Source organism: Homo sapiens, chromosome 4, assembly GCF_000001405.40.
Source record: "Homo sapiens chromosome 4, GRCh38.p14 Primary Assembly".
Classification (NCBI taxonomy): Eukaryota; Metazoa; Chordata; class Mammalia; order Primates; family Hominidae; genus Homo; species Homo sapiens.
The window spans coordinates 168,689,875-168,714,539 of record NC_000004.12 but is presented as its reverse complement, the minus strand read 5'-3'; the positions used below and the strand labels follow the sequence as shown (position 1 = coordinate 168,714,539).

The following is a 24,665-nucleotide window of genomic DNA, read 5'->3' as shown; positions in this document are numbered from 1 at the left end:
GTAAGAATTTCACTTGGCAGTTACCTATAGTCATTCATTATCAATAACTCAGATGCTGTTCTACATTATTTGTAGATGTCATTCAATAGTATTTCTCTATCAATAATACAACTTTGAGAACACTGAACAAACCATTTTTTAGAAAAGGTTGTGATAATACAGAATATCACACCTTTGAGAGGGGTGGAAATGGGGAAGCAAAGAGCACTTTGAAAACTGAACAAACACTGAAAGAAAACTTTGAAAACACTGCAAAAACCTTTTTTAGAAAAGGCTCTGATAATACACCATACCACAACTTTCAGAGGGCTGGGTTGGAAGAAGGGAAGCAGAGAGTATAAACTTTAATAGCCTCTGTGTTGTTTGAATTGTCACATCAAGCATCCACTGATTTTGTAATAAAACAAAATCCAATAACATATTCTAAATCATAAGAAAATTTAAAAATATATATTTAAAAAGTATCATCACATATTATTTTCTACCTAGTTAAATGGCAGGTAAATATGCAACACGAAAAAACAAAAATCAAGTGATTCCCTAAGAATATGTTTAAACATACGAAGATTTGAAAAAAAAAAAAAAAAAAAAAAAAAACAATGGGAAAACCTAGTACAAGTAAATGTTGTTTCTAAGCTGTTGGGTTTTGTGGTTAGGTGTTCTGCTTTTTCCCTTAAATTTCCTCATGAAGGGAGAGTAACCTATTTATTTGGGCCTCATACATTTAAGTCCATTTTTTCTGCATCTTATTTTATATTTTATCTTATATTTATATTTATATATTTATATATATTCATATTTTATCTCACTCACAAGCAAATCCTGATGTTCTTTAAACTTGTGCTTAAGCTGTCATCCTCTTAATGAACGCGAAGTTGTTTTGTCTACATTCTGTAGATATTACCCCCTTGCCATATACATTAACCTGGCTGCAAAGCAGAGCTAAAAGCTGCAGAGCTGTTGAAACTCCTGAGATAAGACGGGCTGTAGATGCCTCTTAACAGCTCCTCGTATTTGCTCTCCTGTGATTTACATCCAATTTATGATACCCATTAGAGTAGATAGACTTTACTTAATCAAGACCACAGTCAAGTCCTAGTCATTCAACACATTTGCCCTTTCTCTCCCTGGAGAGCAGGTCCCTTGTTTCATTAAAAGCACTGCAAATACATATTCAAAATGCAAAGATGAAAGAAGTCAGCAGTGGCAATTAATTTTATGGGTTGCTGCTACAAGAGCATAAATCTCTTTTAAGGACACCATTTTTTAGCTCATTATACCTGTTCAGCCTCTGAATGGAGATGGCGCATAGGTATTAAATGTTCACCAGCACCTTTCACACTATTGTGTACAAGCTTAGTGAGTAGCCCTACTGTCTTAAAAGAGAGCCAGAACACAATGCAAAATTAAGTAGAGGGTAGCAATATATCGATTTTTGAAACTGCAACCCAAGATTGTCCAGAAGTCTGGTTTTATATAATTGTTAGCCCATTTCTTAACTTAAGGTATTCTTTTGACTGCTTTTGTTATTTGATTAGTCTAATGTTGTTCATGAAATCACTCAGTAAACAATAAAGTGATGTACAAAGGTAAGGTGTTATTCTAATTCAAATATCTTTTAAATTCTAACATTTCTAACAAATGAACTGATCACAGAGAGAAAAGAGTAGGCTAGTCAATGCTAGGGAAATAAAGAATAACCCCTAAAGAAGCCCTTCCTGCCCCAAATCAAAAACATCAGATATGGGTAAATAGAAGGGGCTTTCCTAGGTTCTGGCAAATACATTCTCATGGGAATGTGACCTCATAGAATACATACACATTCACTATGACTCTTACATTTCCACTAACCTCTGGCAGGGCAGTAATTCAGGGTCTCTTGCGCTATGGTAGAACCCTTTGAGCTAATTTATTTCTGCCTCTCTCTGACATTGTAATGGCTCCATTCATAACAACTCTCTGCTGTGCGGTGCCAATGGAAACAGCTCATGCAAGGTTTATCATCCTAAGAAAATAATGGACATCAACTGTGAAGATGGTATTCATGGAAATATGCAGCTCCATGGAATTCCAAGCCAAGTAGCCTGTGTTGTGAAGGGCGCTCTTCTTGCCCACAAGCCTGCTTCCCTCCAGTTTCATTGCCCTGCCAGGATCTGCACCCTGAATTTCCAGCCTCAGTTTTTAGTCTTTCCCCGCTTGTCTATATCAGATCTTCTTACTGATACTTAATATTTAAAGTAACAAATGCAAAGTACTTATACTCACTTTTTGAAATGCTTTTAATAAAGGGCTGAAAGTAGATCCCCCTTTTCCATGGCCTCCAGGGAGTGGCTACATCCTTAGCTGTATGTTGGAAGCCCACACTGGGCACAGATATTTTCACAGCCATAACCAGTTATAGCTTTCAGCAAAGGGCAGATTTCACCAAGCTTTTCATTTCCCTTCTTTATTTTTAGGTGTCTTTTATATTGTTGAAAGACACCACTTGGCAGCAAGGTCCCATGAGTCAAGGCCAACTTGCCACATAGTTGAATACAGGCAAAAGTTTTTTTCTCACCAGACAGGAAATGTAACAGGGGTATGGAAATTATTATAAAACCATGCAGAAATACTCACAGTTTTGGTTTGGCAAGCAGAGGTGGTGGCTCCTTAGTGGGTGAAAGCAGGACAGCTGGTGTTGGAAGAGATTTATTACTGTTAGCTTTGCCGTTAATCAGTCCATTTACTCCACGGCTGGGATGGACTCCGTTCGTTTCCCTCTCAGCAGCATTGAATTGCATTTGAAGGGCTGCCCTGCTCAGGCCTAACTCAGGGTTGTTCACCTGCTGGATCTCAGATGGTTTCTTTGAAGCCAACTCCAAGGAACTTGTCTCCAAGATTGGAGGGGGAGGTGGAAAGTGTTGGAAGTGGTCATTGTTGGATTCTCCCATTGACTCGTAACTACAGTTTTCAGTGTTGGCTAAGGAAGGGGAAAGAGAGGAAAAACATAAGAAGATGCCACTAGTTCAACAAGTGATTTCACACTGTCAGAGTCTTCTGAGAATCCCTGTGTTGTGTGAAGTTGTTAAAGAAGAGGTGATTGTGCTGCTCTCATCTGACGCAGAAGCACTGCCAGCTGGAGGGCCTGGTTCTTTCAAGCTTGTTTTGAACGAGTGCTACCGTTTCATTTCCTGACTGAGCTCACATTTGGGGAACCCAGCTACCGAATCATAAAAATTCCAAACAAGAGCTAAAGATAGAACTTGGCAAAAAAAGTGACAACACAAACAGTATCAACCAACAATGCTTTGTCCTCTCACGTTTTGGTCCATGGGTCCGACTGAACATCCTAGCTGTCACTACTCAAATTGGCTCAAGCTGTAAAGGTTTTATGTGGATATTCATCTAAAGCTAGGGAAGGTAAACCTTGGAGTCCAAGTAAAATTTCATAATCTCATAAAAATATTTTTTTCCATATTAGGTGATTGCTCCAACTATAACTCAGTACGAAAGAGATTTTTATTTGTTGCCCTCAATAGGCTGAAAGCATCTTGAGATCACGTCTTTTTTAGATTCTGCACCTTGCCCACACAGCCCAGCAGAGCTCCTGGCATGCACTCAAAAATGCTTATTGAGGTAAACAAAAAGCTCAGAAATAAAATATTTGTTGATTATGTTTGACCTATAGCAGATTTACTGCAGAAACAAATGGAAAATATTACACACAAATTTTTGCCACTCAGACTTATAGAGCCCAGGGTTTTGGCCATATTGTTTAAACACTGCACTCCTGCTATGGCCATTTGATGGGACAGTGTTGAAGCCAACTCGGAATCAAAACGCTGGGGTCCTCTTTGCTCTGTAACTCTGATCCTGACACTTAGGTTTCTTTCAGCACTTACAGTAGTCATTCACAGAAACCATTTCCCACTTAAGATGACCCTCCCATTTCTTTTCTTAATGAAGATGAAAAAGCATTTACAGTTGCCACTCTAAGGTCCCTAAATAAGTTTTGGTTGTGTCTCTGCTGCCACCTAGCACCAAGTTCTTGCTCTTCTGAAGGAATCCAAGTACAATTCAGTTGTTCTCTCCAAGTCCGTATCATTTAACAAATGACCCATTTATTGATTCCCTACTATGTACATTATGTTCCAGGCTTGGTCAAAAACATATTTTAAAAATATCTTTAAGATGAATGGCAGAGATGAGGCAATTAAAGTAAGCTAATGCTCATTAGTAACTAGAAAACAGACAAATAAAAAGAAAAGAAAAGAAAAGAAAAAGAAAAAAAGCTGTTTCATATTGCCTTCCCTAGTGGTAAGTTTTTGAGTTTAGAAAATATCCATATATTTTTGAAAATTGACTTCAATAATACAATACATTGCTTTCTTTTTCATATTAGTTATATACTATCATTGATACAGACTATCAGTGAAATTTGAGTTTGAAGGCCTTTACAGCTTCTCTGAGTTTTATCTTGTATTACATTTTATACAAGAAGGCTTATCTTGTATTACCTTTTCAGAAGTTTCAACAGTGGATCAGACAATGGCTTATTTGTACAAGTATCTCCAGATCTCATGTGTTGGCACTGCTGAGAAAGTGACTGCACCTCTGATGCAGAGGTGGCTTTCCAATGTGAATATGATTCTAGGTTAGCGGGAGGATGTTAGGAAACCAGCTCCATCGTTTCCAAGACCAAGACTGCACGATTTTAAAGAAAGCCCCCTGTGTGTTCAGTTGCTACACGATCATTATCTTTTTGTTTGTCATCTCCACTTCACTCCTTCTTCTCCCCTCCCCTAAAGCCTTTGTTTCACGATGAACTTAGATTGTTAGGGTGACTCCTGGAGTGGCCAGATTCCTGAAGGCTGAGCTGAGCTCTCTTCCTGGGACAGTCGCTTTGTCCCTTCCTTCCTTCCTTCCTTCCTTCCTTCCTTCCTTCCTTCCCTCCCTCCCTCCCTCCCTCCCTTCCTTCCTTCCTTCCTTCCTTCCTTCCTTCCTTCCTTCCTTCCTTCCTTCCTTCCTTCCTTCCTTCCTTCCTTCCTTCCTTGATGGAGTCTGACTCTGTCACCCAGGCTGGAGTGCAGTGGGATGATCTTGGCTCACGGCCACATCCACCTTCTGGGTTCAAGTGATTCTCCTGCCTCAGCCTCCAGAGTAGCTGGGATTACAGGCACGCACCACCACACTCAGCTAATTTTTGTATTTTTGGTAGAGACAGGGTTTCACCATGTTAACCAGGCTGGTCTCGAACTCTTCACCTCAAGTGATCTGCCTGCCTCGGCCTCCCAAAGTGCTGGGATTACAGGTGTGAGCCACTGCACCTGGCCAGGACGGTGCCTTTCTGCTGTGGCCATCCACACTGGTGCTGGGGAACAGAACCCAGTCATTTTTTTTACTCCTCACATACCTGAGGTGACAACCAGCTGGGCAGTGCTGGTTGCTGATCCATAATCATTTCTTGCTGAACATGTAAAGATCCCTGCATCTTCAGGGAAAGTCTCAGCGATAACTAGGGTGCAAATCTCCTCTGGAAGTGAAGAGAACAGAATCATTCATCAGAGTTGAACCATGAAGTCACTTTTAAGAAGTGAGACCCTCCACCTTTCCACAACAAACAAATTAGGTTATGATTATTACAGATTCACTTTACAAAAGTGTTTACAATAGAATCTCTTTACATTTAATTTAGCAATTCTGCCTAGCAGAAAAAGCTTTGGAGGTAGACCCATTCTTTGTGATGTTGGACAAGAGCAGTCTCGGTGTCCTCATCTATAAAATGGGGATAATACATACCCAATGGGTTATCTGTGAAGATAAAACGAGATGTCTGCAAGTGTGCAGCTCTGTATTTTGCATGTAGGAGTTAAGCTGATTGCATGTCAGAGTTCTTTCTGTACATACAGCTACCTCTTATATCTGCTCAGCTGCAAACCAAGCAGTGGGGAAAATAAAGCTCTTCTGAAATGTTAACCACGGGGGAAAAAAGAACATGACCTGTATATGTTTGACCTGTAGACAACTATTCTGGAAGGTACTGTTAAGTGGCATGGCAGTGTTGTAGGGCATGAAAAGCCCAGACTCGAAACAGCTGCCAGGGCTTGAATGAGGGTCCTGCCACATCTTGCCTTTGTGACTTTGGTCAGTCTCCCTGAACTTCAGTGTTCTTCTCCGTAAAATGGAGACAATAATAGAAGCTACCTCACAGAGTTTGTATTAGTCATGCATGACACACAAAATTAACCACCACACGGTTATTGTGAGGGGGATGATGATGATGATGATGACGATAACAAGAGCTGACAGCTATATAACCCTTACTATACACTAGGTATTGTTACCAGCACTTAACATAGATTAAATCTAATCATCATGTCAATCTTATGAGTTATGTAAGTTTATTATTAGCCCATTTTATAGGTAGAAAATGGAAGCACAATAAGGTTAATTCACTTGCCCAAGGTCACACAGCTAATAAATACTAACATAGGGATTCAAAGCAAGCTGGGGTCCAGACTCCAAACCCTAACCACCACCTACTTTTGTGATATGACATACTGTGCTTAGGACATTGCCTGGCACAGAGCAAATGCTTCATAGCCAGTGTTAGCTGTTAACATTAAAAGGAAGCTATATCTAGAGTATTAATTAGTTTTACTAGTTGAATAATTGCTTATATTGTACCAGTATAAAGATAATTATGTGGGCAAACGTTAAGAAAAGTGATATATTTCGGGTTCCCACAAAGTGATTCTATTGGTTATTCACAAATTTTGGGGGTAGCATAAGACCGTGTATTGTACATTTCTTAGTAATAATGGCTGCAATTATTCCTTCCTTTGTAGACATGCCTCTTTTTAATGTGCCTCTGCAACACCTTCATAAAGTGGCAGAGTCTATTTCCCCATCCGTTGAACCTGGGCTGGCCCTGTGAGTTGCTTTAGCCTAGAATGTGGTGAAAGTGATGTTGTTGGCCAATTCTGAGCCAAATCCTTGAGAGGCCTGGCCTGTTTCTGCTCCATCTCTTGGAACCCTGATGAACCCTTAGGTGAACAAGGCTGTGCTAACCTGTAGGAGGAAGAGACCATATGGAGCAGACATAAGCCCTTCCAAAAGAGACCATCCTAGACTAACTGACTCGTTCCTCGTCATCCTGGCAGCTGACCATGGCCGCACTGAGACAGCCCAGCTGTGGTCAGCCTAGCCTGGCACAGACCACAAAAACCACCCAGCTGAGGTCAAGCCAAATAGTTCACCCACCGAATTATGGTTGCTGCTTTAAGCAACTAAATTTTGGGGTGCTCTACTGTATTGCAGTAGCTAACTCATAGAATTTGATAAGATAAACCTCCTTCACTAACATCCTTCTAAGAGCAAACGTTTCAGACCATCAATAATGAAAATCAGCAAATCTGTTTCAAAACATTTTATGTTTTAAACCCTGAAACAAAAGAAGTACTAACTGTAGGTAAAAGTGATATGTTTAAAAAAAACATTTTTGTCTATTGAAGAGAGCTTTAAATATTTTAATTTTTTACCTATACATCAAATTAATAAGTGCAAAAGTAAATAAATTAAACACTAAGTATAAAATAAAGTGTAAATGTTTCTCTTTATAATCGAATTCCCTTTATATACCTAATACCCCTTAATAATCTCACTCTTCAAAGGCAAATGCAGAGTTTGTTGTATTTGATTCTAGAAAAAAATTCATGTATCTATCATTTCAAAATTTGTCCAAGTATTATCAAACTATATAGTTTTTGATGTCGTGTTATTGGGTCAAATATATATATCTATTTTTTTGTATTACCAAGTAATATGGCCTATAGGCATCATTGAGTTTTACTCGATTTCTCACTCCATTCTTAGGTTTTATCAACCCCCTGCCCCACCCACCAAAGCCTTTCCTTTTCCCCATTTCTGATGATGCTGATGGTAATCTGGTTAACAGACTGCTTGAGATTTTGTTAAAAGCTAAAATGCAAGGATTCTTCTGTGTCAAAATGTTACGTTCCTTAGGAAAGATCTGAGGACTACGGTGATTATAAGCTTCTGAGAGTTTAGCATTGTAGTGTAGCTCAAGGTCAACTCATTTCTAAGATATATTAATACAGGTTTAAAATTGCAAGAGTTGTAAAAACACACACCTTATTCTTTCAGCATATTATTCAATTTGATGTTTGAATGGGGTGTGAAAAACTTAGTTTATTCTTTATGTTCTATTATTAATTTTGTGTTCTACATTGAATCTAAATTATTTAGTTGAGGTAAAAGTAAAGGGCAATGACAGTAGGAGAAATACTGCAAAATTCCACTTAAGAGGTATCTAAACTAGTCATACTCTTAGAAGCAGAAGGTCGAATGCTGGCTGCCAAGCATTGGGGGCAAGGAGGAATGGCAGTTGCTGTTCAGTGGGCATAGTTTCACTCATGCAAGATGAAAACGTTCTAGACATCTGCTGCACAACATTAAGCATACAGTTAACAATACTGTAGTGTATACTTAAAAATTTAAGAAGGTAGATTTCATGTTATATGTTTCTTTAACCATAATAAAAAAAGTAAAGGGCAATGAAATCTATATTAAGTATTCATCCATTTATGGTAATTTAAGGCCAGGCGCAGTGGCTCATGCCTGTAATCCCAGCACTTTGGGAGGCCGAGGCAGGCGGATCACTTGAGGTCAGGAGTTCAAGACCAACCTGGGCAACATGGTGAAACCCCATCTCTCCTAAAAACACACACAAAAAAATTAGCCAGGCATGGTGGCAGGTGCCTGTAATCCCAGCTACTTGAGAGGCTGAGGCAGGAGAATTGCTTGAACCCGGGAGGCAGAGGTTGCAGTGAGCCAAGATCGGGCCACTGCACTCCAGCCTGGGCAACAAAAGTGAAACTCTGTCTCAAAAGAAAAAAAGAAAGCCAAAAATGCTAATTTAAGTAAAACACTGTGATGGGTATCATAAATGCAAAGACATTAAAATCAGGAAGAAGTTGCTCAAACATTCTACATCTTTCTTGAAGAACAATAAGAACAAACGGTTCCTAATTGCAGCAAGAGAGCAGAAGGTGGGTTAAATGAATGGAAAGACTTGTTAAGGAAAGGTTTTAAGATGTCGAGAAAATTTTTTGAGATAAAGTCTGGAATCTCCATCCATGAACAGCTCCTAGAAGCTTTTATAGTCATCTACCCACTTGTTAAGCATTTTTAAGAGTACACTGTCTTAATATTTTATAGCTGCAGATATGGAGATAATTAATGGTTCCTGCCTTTGAGTTTCCTGTAATCTTATCAAGGGGTTGAGACACATCTTTTACATGAATTAAACTTGAATGAGAAAATCATCAGGTCTATTCCAACTCCAAAAGCTTACACTCTTAATGCCCACATGACAATGGTATAGTTTTTTAAGCCCTCCTTCTCTCTTTCCTTCAAAATTGTGCTGTCTTAAAAACGCAGTTAAGTCACCTGCAAGCAAAAATGTTTGCCAGAAACTTTCTTTGGCAAAAATTTTTTGAAATATAAGATGTAAGTAGGAAATATAATATAGAATTAAAATTTTTAGGCAATTAAAAATTAAAAGTTTATTTCAAACTTCTGAAATTAAAATTCTAGTTCATTATGCAGTATTTTAAAAAATTGACCAAATATTTGATCTACTATAATGATCCTATAATCACAAAGACAGGATCTTTTTGGTCTTTTTCTCCCACTTGTCTTGATAGCTTTGCAACCCCTCCTATTGAGTCTGTAAAAACAGAACCAAATGTAGTTTCCTGAATTGTCTTCTTTTTCTTTATTCTTAAGATTTATCTCTACCATTTAAAAATTTTTATTTTTTTGAATAGGTAATACAAATACAACATACACATTTTTTTTTTTTTTTTTTTTTTGAGACAGAGTCTCGTGCTGTCGCCCAGGCTGGAGGTGCAGTGGCGCAATCTCGGCTCACTGCAAGCTCCGCCTCCCGGGTTCATGCCATTCTCCTGCCTCAGCCTGCCCAGTAGCTGGGACTACAGGCGCCCGCCCGGCTAATTTTTTTGTATTTTTAGTAGAGACGGGGTTTCACTGTGTTAGCCAGGATGGTCTGGATCTCCTCACCTCGTGATCCACCCGCCTCAGCCTCCCAAAGTGCTGGGATTACAGGCGTGAGCCACCGCGTCCAGTCAACATACAAATTTTTTAAGGTACAAACAGGTATATGGTTCTCTATCTTTTAAATAATTAAAAATTGTCCATGCCTATGTCATGAATGGTAATGCCTAGGTTTTCTTCTAGGGTTTTTATGGTTTTAGGTCTAATGTTTAAGTCTTTAATCCATCTTGAATTAATTTTTGTATAAGGTGTAAGGAAGGGATCCAGTTTCAGCTTTCTACATATGGCTAGCCAGTTTTCCCAGCACCATTTATTAAATAGGGAATCCTTTCCCCATTGCCTGTTTTTCTCAGGTTTGTCAAAGATCAGATAGTTGTAGATATGTGGCGTTATTTCTGAGGGCTCTGTTCTGTTCCATTGATCCATATATCTGTTTTGGTACCAATACCATGCTGTTTTGGTTACTGTAGCCTGCATGGGCAAGGACTTCATGTCTTAAAACACCAAAAGCAATGGCAACAAAAGCCAAAATTGACACATGGGATCTAATTAAACTAAAGAGCTTCTGCACGGCAAAAGAAACTACCATCAGAGTGAACAGGCAACCTACAGAATGGGAGAAAATGTTCGCAACCTACTCATCTGACAAAGGGCTAATATCCAGAATCTACAATGAACTCAAACAAATTTACAAGAAAAAAACAAACAACCCCATCAAAAAGTGGGCAAAGGATATGAACAGACACTTCTCAAAAGAAGACATTTATGCAGCCAAAAGACACATGAAAAAATGCTCATCATCACTGGCCATCAGAGAAATGCAAATCAAAACCACAATGAGATACCATCTCACACCAGTTAGAATGGCAATCATTAAAAAGTCAGGAAACAACAGGTGCTGGAGAGGATGTGGAGAAATAGGAACACTTTTACACTGTTGGTGGGACTGTAAACTAGTTCAACCATTGCGGAAGTCAGTGTGGCGATTCCTCAGGGATCTAGAACTGGAAATATCATTTGACCCAGCCATCCCATTACTGGGTATATACCCAAAGGACTATAAATCATGCTGCTATAAAGACACATGCACACGTATGTTTATTGCGGCACTATTCACAATAGCAAAGACTTGGAACCAACCCAAATGTCCAACAATGATAGACTGGATTAAGAAAATGTGGCACATATACACCATGGAATACTATGCAGCCATAAACAATGATGAGTTCATGTCCTTTGTAGGGACATGGATGAAATTGGAAATCATCATTCTCAGTAAACTATCGCAAGAACAAAAAACCAAACACCGCATATTCTCACTCATAGGTGGGAACTGAACAATGAGATTACATGGACACAGGAAGGGGAATATCACACTCTGGGGACTGTTGTGGGGTGGGGGGAGGGGGGAGGGATAGCATTGGGAGATATACCTAATGCTAGATGACGAGTTAGTGGGTGCAGCGCACCAGCATGGCACATGTATACATATGTAACTAACCTGCACAATGTGCACATGTACCCTAAAACTTAAAGTATAATAATAAAAAATAAATAAATAAATAAATAAAATAAATAAATAAATAAAATAAAAACAAAGTTAAAAAAAAGATTAATCATTTGGAAAGTGAGATGTCTCTGGAAAGTTACAAGGGATTGGGAAATTTTAAATTGAATGCATATGGTTACAGAATGAGTTAAAAGTGTGGTTAGCCATAGAAGGGGACATACAAGATCAGTACTGTAAGAGATTGATTAGGTCAAATCCCTCATTTCTTCAGGCTCAATATCAATGAATCCTGGGTGTTCAAAGTGATTCTCTCAGGGTCCTGGCTAATTAATGCTAGAGCCAAAATGCTGAAGGTTGGCGTCCCATCTCCGACACGCATGTTCTTTTTTTCTTTCTTTTTGAGATGGAGTTTCACTTGTCGCCCAGGCTGGAGTGCAATGGTGCTATCTTGGCTCACTGCAACCTCCGCCTTCCAGATTCAAGTGATTCTCCTGCCTCAGCCTCCCAAGTAGCTGGAATTACAGGTGCACACCACCATGCCCAGCTAACTTTTTTTGTATTTTTAGTAGAGACAGGGTTTCACCATGTTGGTCAGGCTGGTCTCGAACTCCTGACCTCAGGTGATCCACCCGCCTCAGCCTCCCAAAGTGCTGGGATTACAGGAGTGAGCCACTACACCCAGCTGATGGTCTGTTTTTCTAGAGCACATGTTCTTTTTTTCTAGAGCTGATGTTCTTTTTTTCTAGAGCTGATGTTCTTTTTTTCTAGCCTCTCTAGTTCTGCATTTTTCCTAGTTCAGGACACAAGAAATCTTACATAAAGTAAGGTAATGAAAGATTTAAGTCAGGAAATGGAGTTTCCCGATGCTGAAAAAACTAATTATTCTCATTATCCAAATGATTCATGAGAATTATTCATCTGCACAAGGGGAGGGCAATATGTCCTCTGAGGTATAAGACACATTGGAACAGGATATAAGCTTGTAATGTGGACATGCTTAACAGCCCCTTCTTACGAGGTTTGGAGTAGTGGGCTTCAGGCAGTGCTAAGTCACTTTCCTTCTCCCTTCGCAGATGCTGCTGTGAGTGGTGAAGGCTTCTCAGCTTTCAGTAACACCTGGGCACTTCCTGCCTAGACAACCAGGGCTTACGTCCCTGGACTATCTTCCCAGGGCTTAGTGCTCTCTGGGAAGCACTTCTCTCAACCTTGAATCATCTACACCTGGAAAGACAGAGGTTCTGGGAACACTGAGAGAAATGTCCTTGCCAGTTCAATGCCTGAGGATGCTTCAACTATAAACATAGACATAATTCTGTGCCTTGAAACCTACATTTAAAAACAGGATACAATTTTATTCAGTAGGGATAATATAAAGTGGTTTTAGATCGATGATCTTGATGACTTGTAAAGAATTCCTTCTGATGCTTCTACGACTTTGTGGTTCTTTTAGTCATGCCATTTTTCAGAAAACCTGAGGATGAATATACAGTTGCCCCTTCTAAATCAGAGGGCTCTCTTAATAAGAACGAAATTTTATCATCCTCCCATCCTTCCATGACTTTGAGGATAAAATAAAAAATTTTAACATGGTCTCTGAAGCCCTGCATAATTAGGTCCCTGCTTCTTGTCAGGCTCCTTCTGTGCCTCGCACATCATTGCCTTCTGAGCACTGGGCACATGGGCTCTGGGGCAGCTCCTTGTGAAGCCACGCTCTGGTAAGTTTCTAAGCCCTGGCTCCTCCTGGAGTACTTGGCACTCTCCTACTCAGTCTTATGTTTCCCCACAAACATTACTTTCTCAGAGAATCCCTTTTTTTATTAAACTTAATCAGTTTGACCACCTTAAAGCAATTTTAGGATGGTAAACTTTTTTGGAGACATCACAACTGTAATGAAATAATATCTATCACAAATAATATCATCACAACTGTAATTAAATAATATCTATCTATCTATTGACTCATAAAGGTAGGGTCTTGCTCTGTTGCCCAGGCCTCTAGTGGGAGATTTTAACAGACAGTAGAAGACAATCACAAAATCAAATAAAGCTGGTGCAATTTTGTTTTATTTTATTTTTAAAATCTTTTTTTTAGAAACAGGGGTTTCACTGTTGCCCAGGCTGGAGTGAAGTGGCATGATCATAGCTCACTGCAGCCTTGAACTCCTGGGCTCAAGCAATCCTCCTGCCTCAGCCTCCTGGGTAGCTGGGACTATGTGCCACCTCACCCTGCTAAATAATTTATTGTGTAATTAGTTTGTTAGTTTCTGGTTCGCTGAAATATAACCTCTGAGTGCAGAAACAATTTTTGTTCATGGCCATATTCTTAGCATCTCACACATGGTAGGCTCCCTATAATTATGTTTAAATAAATGCATGCATGAAATTTAGATGAAGGAAAAAAACACTTGCTTTGTAAAAAGACTATTTTCTAAAGGAATTCTCAGTAAGACCAATTTTCCTACAAGCTTCCTTTGTGTGTTTCAAAGTTGATTGAGCAGAATTCATTGTGTATGATTTTATAGGAATACTTCCATGCATAAATAAGGTATATGCCTGTATATAGTTCACGTGGAACATTTAGAAAAATTACAGAATTAAAGAACAAAAATAGAAAAATAAAAAATAAACACTAGGATGTTCTTTTAGTGATCCTCATGCATTGAAATGTCACAGCAATTTTTGCTAGATAATTTTTTTTTAACTAGATAAAATTTGAATACAATGTCCCACAGGTTCCTCAGCTTTTCTTCTCAAAGAAAAGTTCATCCAACAGTGACAAGAGGCTCACATTTTGTTGAGAGAAAGAAGCATCATAGCTTGTATGGTTCTGACATTATAAAAATGAAGAAAGCCATGAGGAAATGAGATGAGCCAGGTTGTAATACTGAATTTTCATCTGGTGGCATCTCACTCGAACAAAGACGTATAAGACATCTGTAAAATAAATTTTGGTAAGGAATGGAAATCAGAAAATGACTGCTTATGTCACATAAAGGGATTTAGAGACTTACTTATCTGTACTAAAGAAACTGTCTCCAGTATAAATGGAAAAATTTAAAGTTATTAATAACCTTAATTATGATGCATTTTAATCTAATTTTCCCATGTTTGGATTTCCTAAGGTTTTGATTTGAGGGCATTTAATAAATTACTAAATCAGAAACTGTTTTTACTGGTGATAAATTCTGTTCTTTATAGTTACCTAAAAATTACAAAATCACAGCAATATCTCCCAGAAGGCAACCTTGAATTGCATTCAAGTTCCTGGACCTACTTAACACTTGGTTAAATACAAATAAAAACCATTTTGTTTGTGGAAACTCATAAAATGATGAGGCAGCAAGGATAAGATTACTGGGTTCCCTGGGTAATAAGGGGACATTTTCATAAATGGCTTCCTTTGCAACTGTTTTTTTTTTTTTTGTCCCAAGTCCCTAAAAAAGAAATCCAGCTTTTACCTTTCACACCACATGGTTTGGCTAACACAGTTGGTAAAAAAGAACTCTGAGCTAAAATCAACAAGATGAAATCCAGTGTGGGTAAATGTAATGCTTGTATCAATATTTGCACAGGAGGCTGGGTGCAGTAACTCACGCCTGTAATCCTAGCACTTTGGGAGGCTGAGGCTGGTGGATCACCTGAGGTCAGCAGCTCGAGACCAGCCTGGCCAACATGGCAAAATCCCATCTCTACTAAAAATACAAAGATTAGCTGGGCGTGGTGGTGGATGCCTGTAATTCCAGCTACTTGGGAGGCTAAGGCAGGAGAATCACTTGAACCTGGAAGGCAGAGGTTGCAGTGAACCAAGATCATGCCACTGCACTGCAGCCTGGGCAACAGATCAAGACTCTGTCTCAGAAAAGAAAAAAATTGCAAAGGATTTTTTTAAATTGTCAATTGTATTTAATATCATATATAAAGAAGGATATTTAAAATGTACCATTTAACGAATAACAGTGAAATGAACCCCTGTGTATCTATCCTCAAGTCTATGAAATAAAACATTCCCAGTGCTTTAGAAATACCTCATAGGCTCTCCCCAATTTAATTTTCCTTCTCCTTTGAGATAATAATTCCTTCGATTTTCTTTATGTGTTTACCATATATGTATGTATCCTTAAAAAATGCATTCTTTAGTTTAAAAAAATTAAGTAGTGAGCACAAATCTTGGCTGACTAAAGAAAAAGTAACCTTGTCACTGTTAGGAAAAAGATCCCAAGAACCATCTTGGGCCATCAACTAGATTCAACGTCCTTGAAAGTTTCCAAAAGCCCCACGGGGCACTCAGTGGGTAAGGTCTTGAGTGAATCTGGGAAATATAAGGCTCACTCGGTGGAGCAGTCTGGTGGGGCCTCATGTGGGCATCCAGCAGGAATATAGTTGTTGCTGGAGATGGTATCTCCATATTTTGTTTCTTTAAATTAAAAAAAATTGTGGTTACATAGGAAGTATATATATTTACTGGGTACATGACATGTTTTGATAAGGGCATGCAGTGTGAAATAATCACATCATGGAGAACAGGGTATCTGTCCCCTATAATATTTATTCTTTTAGTTATTCAATCCAATTATACTCCAATTAAACAATCCAATTACACTCTTATAGTTATTTTAAAATGTACAATTAATTTCTTATTGACTACAGTCACCCTGTTGTGCTATCAAATACTAGGTCTTATTCTTTCTTTCTAACTATATTTTTGTACCAATTAACCATCTGCATCTCCCCCCACAGCCTCTCAATACCCCTCCCAGCCTCTGGTAGCCATCCTTCTACTGTTTCGATTTTTAGATCACACAAATAAGTAAGAACATGTGATGTTTGTCTTTCTGTGTCTGCCTTATTTCACTTAACATAATGAGCTCCAGTTCCATCCATGTTGTTGCAAATGATAGGATCTCATTCCTTCTTATGGCTGAATAGTACTCCATCGAGTATATGTACCACATTTCCTTTAGCCATGCATCTGTTGATGGATACTTAGGTTGCTTCCAAATCTTAACTATTGTGAATAGTGCTGCAACAAACATGGGAGTGCAGATATCTATTTGATATACTGACTTCCTTTCTTTTGGGTATATATCCAGCAATGAGATTGCTGGTATTTTCTGCTTTTTACCCATTTATGCCTAGTGTTCCATTATTGGAATGCTAAGCATTTGGGAGTTACTTATATCCTACTGCTCAAGGTCATCGTCAAGGTCTGATTGCAAAAATTCAAAAAATTGCAACCTCAGGCATAGATGGGTTAATTAAACTCAACATGGCCGACTTCTAGATGTCAGGACTGACCAAAGCAGAACGCTTCTGTGGGGGTAAGATGAGTGTTCCCAGCTGATCCAGGTGACAGTCCATGGAGGGGAGAGCAGGACAGCCCAAGTAGACATGAGATTTCTGGGTCAGGCTTACCGCCCTGCCATTCTGTCATCCAAATAAAAGACGGGCTGGACCAGAGGCAATGAACCTCCTAATGATGAAAGCCTCATTGCATTTGTCCCTCGAGACACGAGGCTTCAATCTGAACTTGCCCTTCATTCCTGATGCACAGCTGTCACCCTCCTGGGGATGCCCTTTGCCTCTTGCTTCTATGTGATCTCCTGCTTCCTGTACCCCACCTCTACATCTTGTCCTTTCTGGATTAATTCTCTTGCTGTGGTGGAGCACACTGTCGGGTTCCAGAGGAAAATTTGGGGGATCTTACAAGTCTGAAAATATCTTTGCTAGATTTCCATGTGAAGTTTTGCCTAGGGGCAGAATTCCAAGTTGTAGGTAACTTTTTTCACAATTTTGAAGTTCTTGCTTCATTGTCTCGTTGTGTCTAGTGTGACTGCTGAGAAGGCCTAAGCTATTTGCATCTTGCTAGTTTGTATATATAACCTGATGTTTTCTCCCAGGACACTTATAACATGATCTCCTTGTCCTGGAAATTCTGAATTTCATGATGACGTGCCTGGGTCTGGGTTTATTCCATATGTTGTGCAATCAGTGGATTTTTCCATCTGGCAATTGATAACTTTCAGTTTGGGGAACTTTAAAAAAATTATTTCATTGATAATCCTGTCTCTCGCCGCTTCTTTCTTCTCTCCTTCTGGAATCCCAGTTATTCAGCTATGCATCTCTAACTTTGTTGCCTTTTCTCTCTTACATCCCTTCTTCGTCATTTTGCTGTACTTTGTGGGACATCTGCTCGTTTTATTTCTGCTATGAACTTTTCATTTCAAGAACTCTGTTTTACAAGTGTCCTCCCCTCTCTTTTTTTTTTCTAGCTTTTCATTTTTATTTCTTGGGTGGAATGATTTCCTTGGATCCTTTAAGAGAGATTTTGTTTGTTTGTTTTTGTTTTACATTTTCCTCTCTTTGCAAACCCATTTTCTCAAAGTTCCCTTTTAGGAAGGTCACTTGTTTTTTTCTATATCATTCATGCTAGAGGTTTTCTCCAGATGCCTTTTCTCTCTGCTTGTCTGACAGGGATGGGAGTTTATTAAGCTCTGAGTATAAGAGAGGAACTTATCCACTTTGGCCTTCCCTATAGCACAATCTAAGTGGCATCTTTATAAGAGAAACTCCCAAATCATTATCTTTGGATTTATTTTTTCTCTCGGGATGTTTAAATTGCCCAGAGAAGAGTCCTTCAGTCTCTGCTGAGAGAGGTAAAGTTCATAGGCCAGCAGGCTGGAATGTGAGTCCTGGAAGAGGACTGGAAATAGGCACATTTGGCATTAAGAATTTCAAAACCCACTCAATTTTCTTTTTGCTGTGTACTCAAATGTGTCTTGAGTCTTCCCCCTCTCCCTCTAGAGCAAGCTTGTCCAACCCGTGGCCTCTGAGCCACATGTGGCCCAGGACAGCTTTGAATGTGGCCCAACATAAATTCATAAACTTTCCTAAAACATTATGAGATTTTTTTTTTAAGCTCAAAAGCTATGATTAGTGTTAGTGTATTTTATATGTGACCCCAGGTAATTCTTCTTCCAGTGTGGCCCAGGGAATTCAAAAGATTGGACACTCCTCCTCTAGAGAGTAAAACAAACTTTCTTGGTTCATGGGACTCTAAGTTTCTCAATACTTTTTAAATGGTGCTCCTAAGCCAAAAGACATAACTAATAGTTATGTTTGTTATGTAGTTATTTCCAAAGAACTTAATAAGTGTTTATGCCTAAACAATTTAGTGTTTAAAAATACATATAAATTGAAAGAAAAATACTATTATTTTATTCTTAAATAACCACTATTTCTTACTAATGGCTGTGTGCATCTGCTGGGCACTGTACCACCTCTCTTGGAATCAGATTGGATGAGCCAGCCTCATTTCATGTTTTACATGGATTTTCATGAGGTACTTACTTTTTATCACACACTCATCAAAAACTCAGTTTCACAAAGAGATTATGTCATAGAAAAGAATGGAGGGTGATCTAATGTTGAAATTCTGAACTAGTTCAAGCCAGTCATTGTGTCATATCTGTCAAATGTCAAGTTTGAATGTGTTTGCATAAAAAAATTTCAAATATATTACAGCATCCCTGTCAGCGTGGTGTGGCACCCCAGGGCATCCTGTCACACTCTTGGTGAACTATAAGTTTCATATGGCCTACTTTTGTTCAACCCACCGTCCTAACCTAGAACATGCATTAAGTTTTTACTGCATACAATCTACTGGGATCTCAAGAAACATCCCTATCATTGCCCTCCTACAACAGCACCTTAGTACATTTAACTAAGTGTAACTTACTTTATATTTTGAATCAGAGAATCAAAGCCTAGACTCTACCGTACAAGATCTAGCATGGGTCACACTGGTGAGCAGAAATTAAAATTGAAAGCAGGAGGCAATATACTTTTATATGTATAATTCCACAACCAGTAAGACGCGTTTTTGTGTTTTTAATTTTGCACGCTATTAGACAGTGCTATAGAAGTAACTCAACACAGTTTGTGGCTGTTTCCAGACAGCTGAGTGAGTAAGAGACTGAGTATTAACAGCTGTCAAATGAGTCTTCTGTGTCCCCCACCCCCAGACTAGTCTTTGAAGGAGTCTATCAGTACAAAGTCAGAATTTCAAAGAAGGCCAGAGAAGGTACTATGACAAACGGATGTTGGTCTTAAGTAAGCTGACTAGCTATTAATTCACAAAACAGTCTGAAAAGATTTGTGATGCAAGCTGACTTCTGTCTAGACAGAGAGGGGAGTGTAAAACACATCAGACAGATACGACGCAGCAGTGACAAGAAAAACCTGTTTCAGTTGCACAGATCCATTTGGAGACAACCTGCTATTTCCTTCTTTATCTAAATATCTAATTCCTAATGGGGCTATATCTAGGTACTAGGGAATTTCAACTTTATTTCTGGAGCTTTAAAACATCTTGCCCATGAATAAGGAAGAGAGTAAAGAGAAGAGAGTAAAGAGAAGAGTAAAGAAAAAATAAATAAAAAGAATGAGGGAGTGAGATGGAGAAAGAGGAAGAGAGGCAGGGAATGAAGGAGGTGAGGGGAGAGAAAGAGACAGAGAGGAGGGGGAGAGAGCGAGCAAGAGTGACTCTCTCAGAGGAAAGGAAGAGGGTAGGAAGAGACAGTAATAAAAACAGAATGCTTAAATGTTTTCCTGAATTTCAAAGGCTATTTATGTTTTAGCATTTGGAAAATATCACTGACCTAGTCCTATAAAATTTATCTCTTGCCTCAGATGTATTGTAGTCACGTCTGTTTTTCTTCCTTCCACTTAACAATGGCTAAGAAAACAGTTTTTAGGGAAGCCGGTTCCTACATACTTCTATATAGTTTAATAGCTCAGAGGTCCATTAGATATAACAGTCAATCAGGTCATTTAAAGAAGGTAAACAGTCATATTTATTTTTTGTTTTTTCCTCTGACATAGCAACTTCAAGGTCAATGTAAGGAAAACACTTGGCAACTAGTAAAAGAATCATACCTAGTTTTGACAGGCATGACAAAACATTGTTTAAGCACAAATACACTGTAACATTTGCTTGTTCTGAAGTTCTTACTCACAACAACTCATATAATTAGTCACTTGCGTGGTCATTCATGTGTTTAAGGGTTTTTTTTGTTTAAAAAACATGATCATGGATTTTATTTAATGCTGCATGCCAACGGCTGATTTCCTGAAGCACAGCATTTTAACGCTGTAAAAGGGAAAGAAGAAAGTCTCGTCGTGTCATGGTAAAAACAATTGTGGAGAAATCATCGTAGGTCAGGAAAACTCATTGTGTTAGTTTTTAATAGCTCCTGACTATATAATATTTTTTGGTGTATTGACAGATTTGCTAGAAATATTTCTCTGCCAGGAGAAATTTTTCAGAAAATGCTATTATTGTAGTTGGAATGAAGGAATCTGTTTTCTTAAACGCTTTCAGATCTAACTATGTAAATAAGAAAATTCAGTGAACACAAAGAGGAAACATTTTTCTGCATTGCTAGGACAAGGGATTTAAAAGGAAGGCCTTCCATATCTTGCTCTTTTCTGCATGATTTTGCTACATTAAAGCAAATGGCATTTAAGTACGTTCTAGAGGTCAGGTGATTCCATGAAGCTGTTTAGGACTAATTTTATTAAATAATTCACAATCAAAACTATAGTTTAGAAGCAAAGCAACAAACTAACTGAAACAGAAGGAGTGTATATAGGGTAAGTGATAAGGACACAGGGCGCAGGGTAGATGTGAAACAGAAGGAGTGTATGTAGGGTAAGTGATGAAGATGCAGGGCGCAGGGGAGATCTGAAACAGAAGGAGTGTATGTAGGATAAGTGATGAAGACGCAGGGCGCAGGGTAGATGTGAAACAGAAGGAGTGTATGTAGGGTAAGTGATGAAGATGCAGGGCGCGGGGGAGATCTGAAACAGAAGGAGCGTATGTAGGATAAGTGATGAAGACGCAGGGTGCGGGGGAGATGTTTCCTTCCTCCCTCCTCATCCAAATTTATTCTTCCTTAGCTAGCATATTCTGAGTGTTTTCCCTTTTCAAATATACACATACTGAAAACTAAGCTGTGCAGTTTCTAACTAATGTTTTGACTTTGCAGATGACTGTTTGTGATTTTCCAACCTACATTTGATAAATCATCATCACCTATGTGCATGATGACAACGTATAACAACACGATGAAAAGAGAGTTGCAGGAGTTCACTCCGAATCCAAAACGCAATGTCAAAAGCTGCCTTATTTCATGCTAGCAGTAACATTTTTACAATTTTTGGCTCAAAATTTTAGCCTTATTTATACACAAAGCATTAAAAGACATAAATTGCTTTATAGGTTTGTTTCACATAAAAAGCTATTTCTTGTAGATAAAAGATATTTGGTTCCTACTTTTATATCTACCTATCTAAAGTTGTTTAAAATAGCAAATGCACAAGATGTGCCCTAACTCCCTACAGGATTCCCATATTAGCTCATGCAGCAGATTTAATCTCAGAAAATCCATGTATTAGAAAAGTAGCATTATGCAATTTTATTCAATGACATTTCACAGACAAAATATGCAGTTGTATATTTCCACAGTCTGGAAAGTGACTACAGTATTTGATGTGATGACTGACACATTAAGTGGGGGGACTTGCTCTGCTTATAATTCATGACAGGAGGGCAGCAGATCAATTCCAGTTGTTCCCTAAGGATGCTACTCAGCCTCCCTTAAACGTTGGATCCTAATAGGGTCAAACTCTGCTTTTAAAGATCCAGTACACAGATGTGAGAAGTTCAGGGACTGACTGCAGTAATCTGACCTGCAGTGGCCCACAGAGGACTTTCCAGTTCCCCCAAGAAGAGTCAGAGCAAGGTCATGGCTCCTAAGACACATGTGGCAAGATCTGCTTGACACTGAAGCAGAGGAACAAACAGGAGAAACAGGAAAATGACTTGTTTTTCTACCCTTTGTTCAGAAATAAGTGAAATTGTGACCCTGCTGATGGGAAAAATACAAAAGAAAATAGTCTTGAGGAGGACATACGATGAAGTACCTAGACAAAAATTTGTTTCCTTTACAAACACTATTTCACTCCACGAGGAACCATAAATACGCAATATGTCTGAGGCAGGGAACAGCTAGGCCCGAGGCTCCTGGATCACATAGCACTGTGATCTGGTCAAACGACCTGATAATTAAGAGTGATCTGGGGGCAAGATGACTTTCTTCATGCTTGCAGAATAGTAAAAGTTTATGGCTCAGGGCACACAAATGAGAAACACCTGGGGGTCCATTTTGCTTACCTCTTTGAGCTGCTCTCATTTGAGACACATTTCTAAGCTGGGGTTGTTAGTGGGTTCTGATCAGTACAAATAGGCAGTAGATTGTCCTTCTCTACTGGAATTTTAGGAGGATGTTTTTTCATCATCAGCTTAGTTTGCTTTCTGAGCCTAAAAGACTGTATTTTAAAAAGCATGAAGTCACTGAGCTTGACCTTCTTGTCTGAATGGAACTTAATGTTTTGCTAATAAAGACGTTGATGTAAAATGCAGTGTACAGACTCCATGATAAAGAAGATATTGTTTTTAAGGGGGTTTCACATTTCCAGGGAGCCACAAAAACATTGTTCTGCTTACGGCTTTAAGGTAGAAAGAAAGAACTATTGAGACCCAAAAGATACATTATCTGCTCCCCCACCACCAAAAAAAAAAACCCTAAAAATATTCTTACCAGGTTCAGCTGTAGATCTAGGTTCTGTTTGCCACATGAAAAAAATAAATTAGAACAAAGTATTAGAATGGGGTTCCATTTAATTAAAAAAAACCTACTTGTTCCTTTCCATTACCTTGTCTAGGACATGTCTGAAGAAATGTTACAGTCAAACTCCATCATACAAAAGATATAAAGTGATAGATCGGTTTATATTTCTATAAATATAAAAACTCAAATTCCTGTATCAACTTACACTAAGAAATTTTTCCAACTGCAGTTCATAGATGGGCTCTAGGAGCCTGGTAAACCTCCTAAAATTATTCATGCAAATTTGAGTACAAATGTATATATGCATTTTTTAAGACGAAAGAATATATGACTTTCATTAGAGTGTCAAGGGGGTCATAGTTTCCATTTACTGGATTTCAACACACTGTAGATTATCTGATCCTGCCACTCTTTGAACATAGAGATCAATTCATCTTAATGACTTAGCCCTTCTTGGTTTTCTTGAAGCTGGAGAGAATAAAATGGTCAGATTTGGGGACATGGGCACTTCTCCTTACTTTTCTGTAGAATTCGGAAATCTGGAGAGTCTTGGATTTCACTCCCTTGCCGAAACCACTGGACCTGCAGAGGGGGTGCCCCACGGACCCGGCACTCCAGAACCACCACCTGGCCTTCCGCCACGGCTGTGTTTTGCAGTTCCTGAAATTCAAGGAAATTCAAGGAAAACCCCATCAGACTTTGGTGCATTTTTAAGCAATTTCACAACACAGAATAAAAATTCCAAACCTCAGACAAAACAGATACAAACACAAAATGCAAAACTTGCATCATCAAATAATTAGCACTGACTCAGGTAAGGATAAACACCTTTGGACCCACCGATTATCAGCTTTTCACCCTCTCCAAGTCATAAAATGAGTAAAGTGTACCATAAGTCCTGTAGAGCTTTCTGGCCTGTCTGCAAATTTGCACTGACTGCTCTGCATTTATGGAATTTGATGGTAACCAATGTTAACTTTCTTTATCTACATTTAAAAGGAAGCAGGTGGAATGTGAATTTCTTGAAACGACCACACTCTAAATAAAAGTAGATTCTTATGAAAACCAGACAAGAAGAGAAAAAAGACATGCATTTGTTTTCACATGCCTCAGCCTTTTCATGTACCACCTCTGCCTGACTAGTTTCCTATGTCAAGTTTATTAAGCTAAGGGGTTTCTACATTTTCTCATTTTGAGATTCTGAGTAAAGTAATGAAACATGCTGTACTTCTTCCTTATTGACCTTCATTTCCTCCTTCTTTGCTCCTGCCTTTGTTGTCCCTCACCGCACTCCAACTCCAGACCAATAAATCTTTACAATCCAACAGATCAGAAATTAATTTGGTTTTATAGATACAAAGAAGTAAAGCTTTTATACTTGTTCTTAA

General features: G+C 38.7%; 1 protein-coding gene across 17 annotated transcripts in view; it reads right to left on the bottom strand.

Annotated features, from left to right (window-relative positions):
* PALLD (palladin, cytoskeletal associated protein) overlaps positions 1-24,665 on the bottom strand; it is a 431,390-nt gene that overhangs the window by 213,902 nt on the left and 192,823 nt on the right. For all 17 annotated transcript variants that reach the window (XM_011531768.3, XM_011531769.3, XM_011531771.3 and 14 more), the window contains 4 exons: positions 23,796-23,937; positions 23,248-23,271; positions 5,393-5,512; positions 2,617-2,959 (listed from right to left, as the gene is read on the bottom strand). In XM_011531768.3, the coding sequence (XP_011530070.1) occupies positions 2,617-2,959; positions 5,393-5,512; positions 23,248-23,271; positions 23,796-23,937 (629 nt within the window). The remainder of the gene's footprint in view (positions 1-2,616; positions 2,960-5,392; positions 5,513-23,247; positions 23,272-23,795; positions 23,938-24,665) is intronic.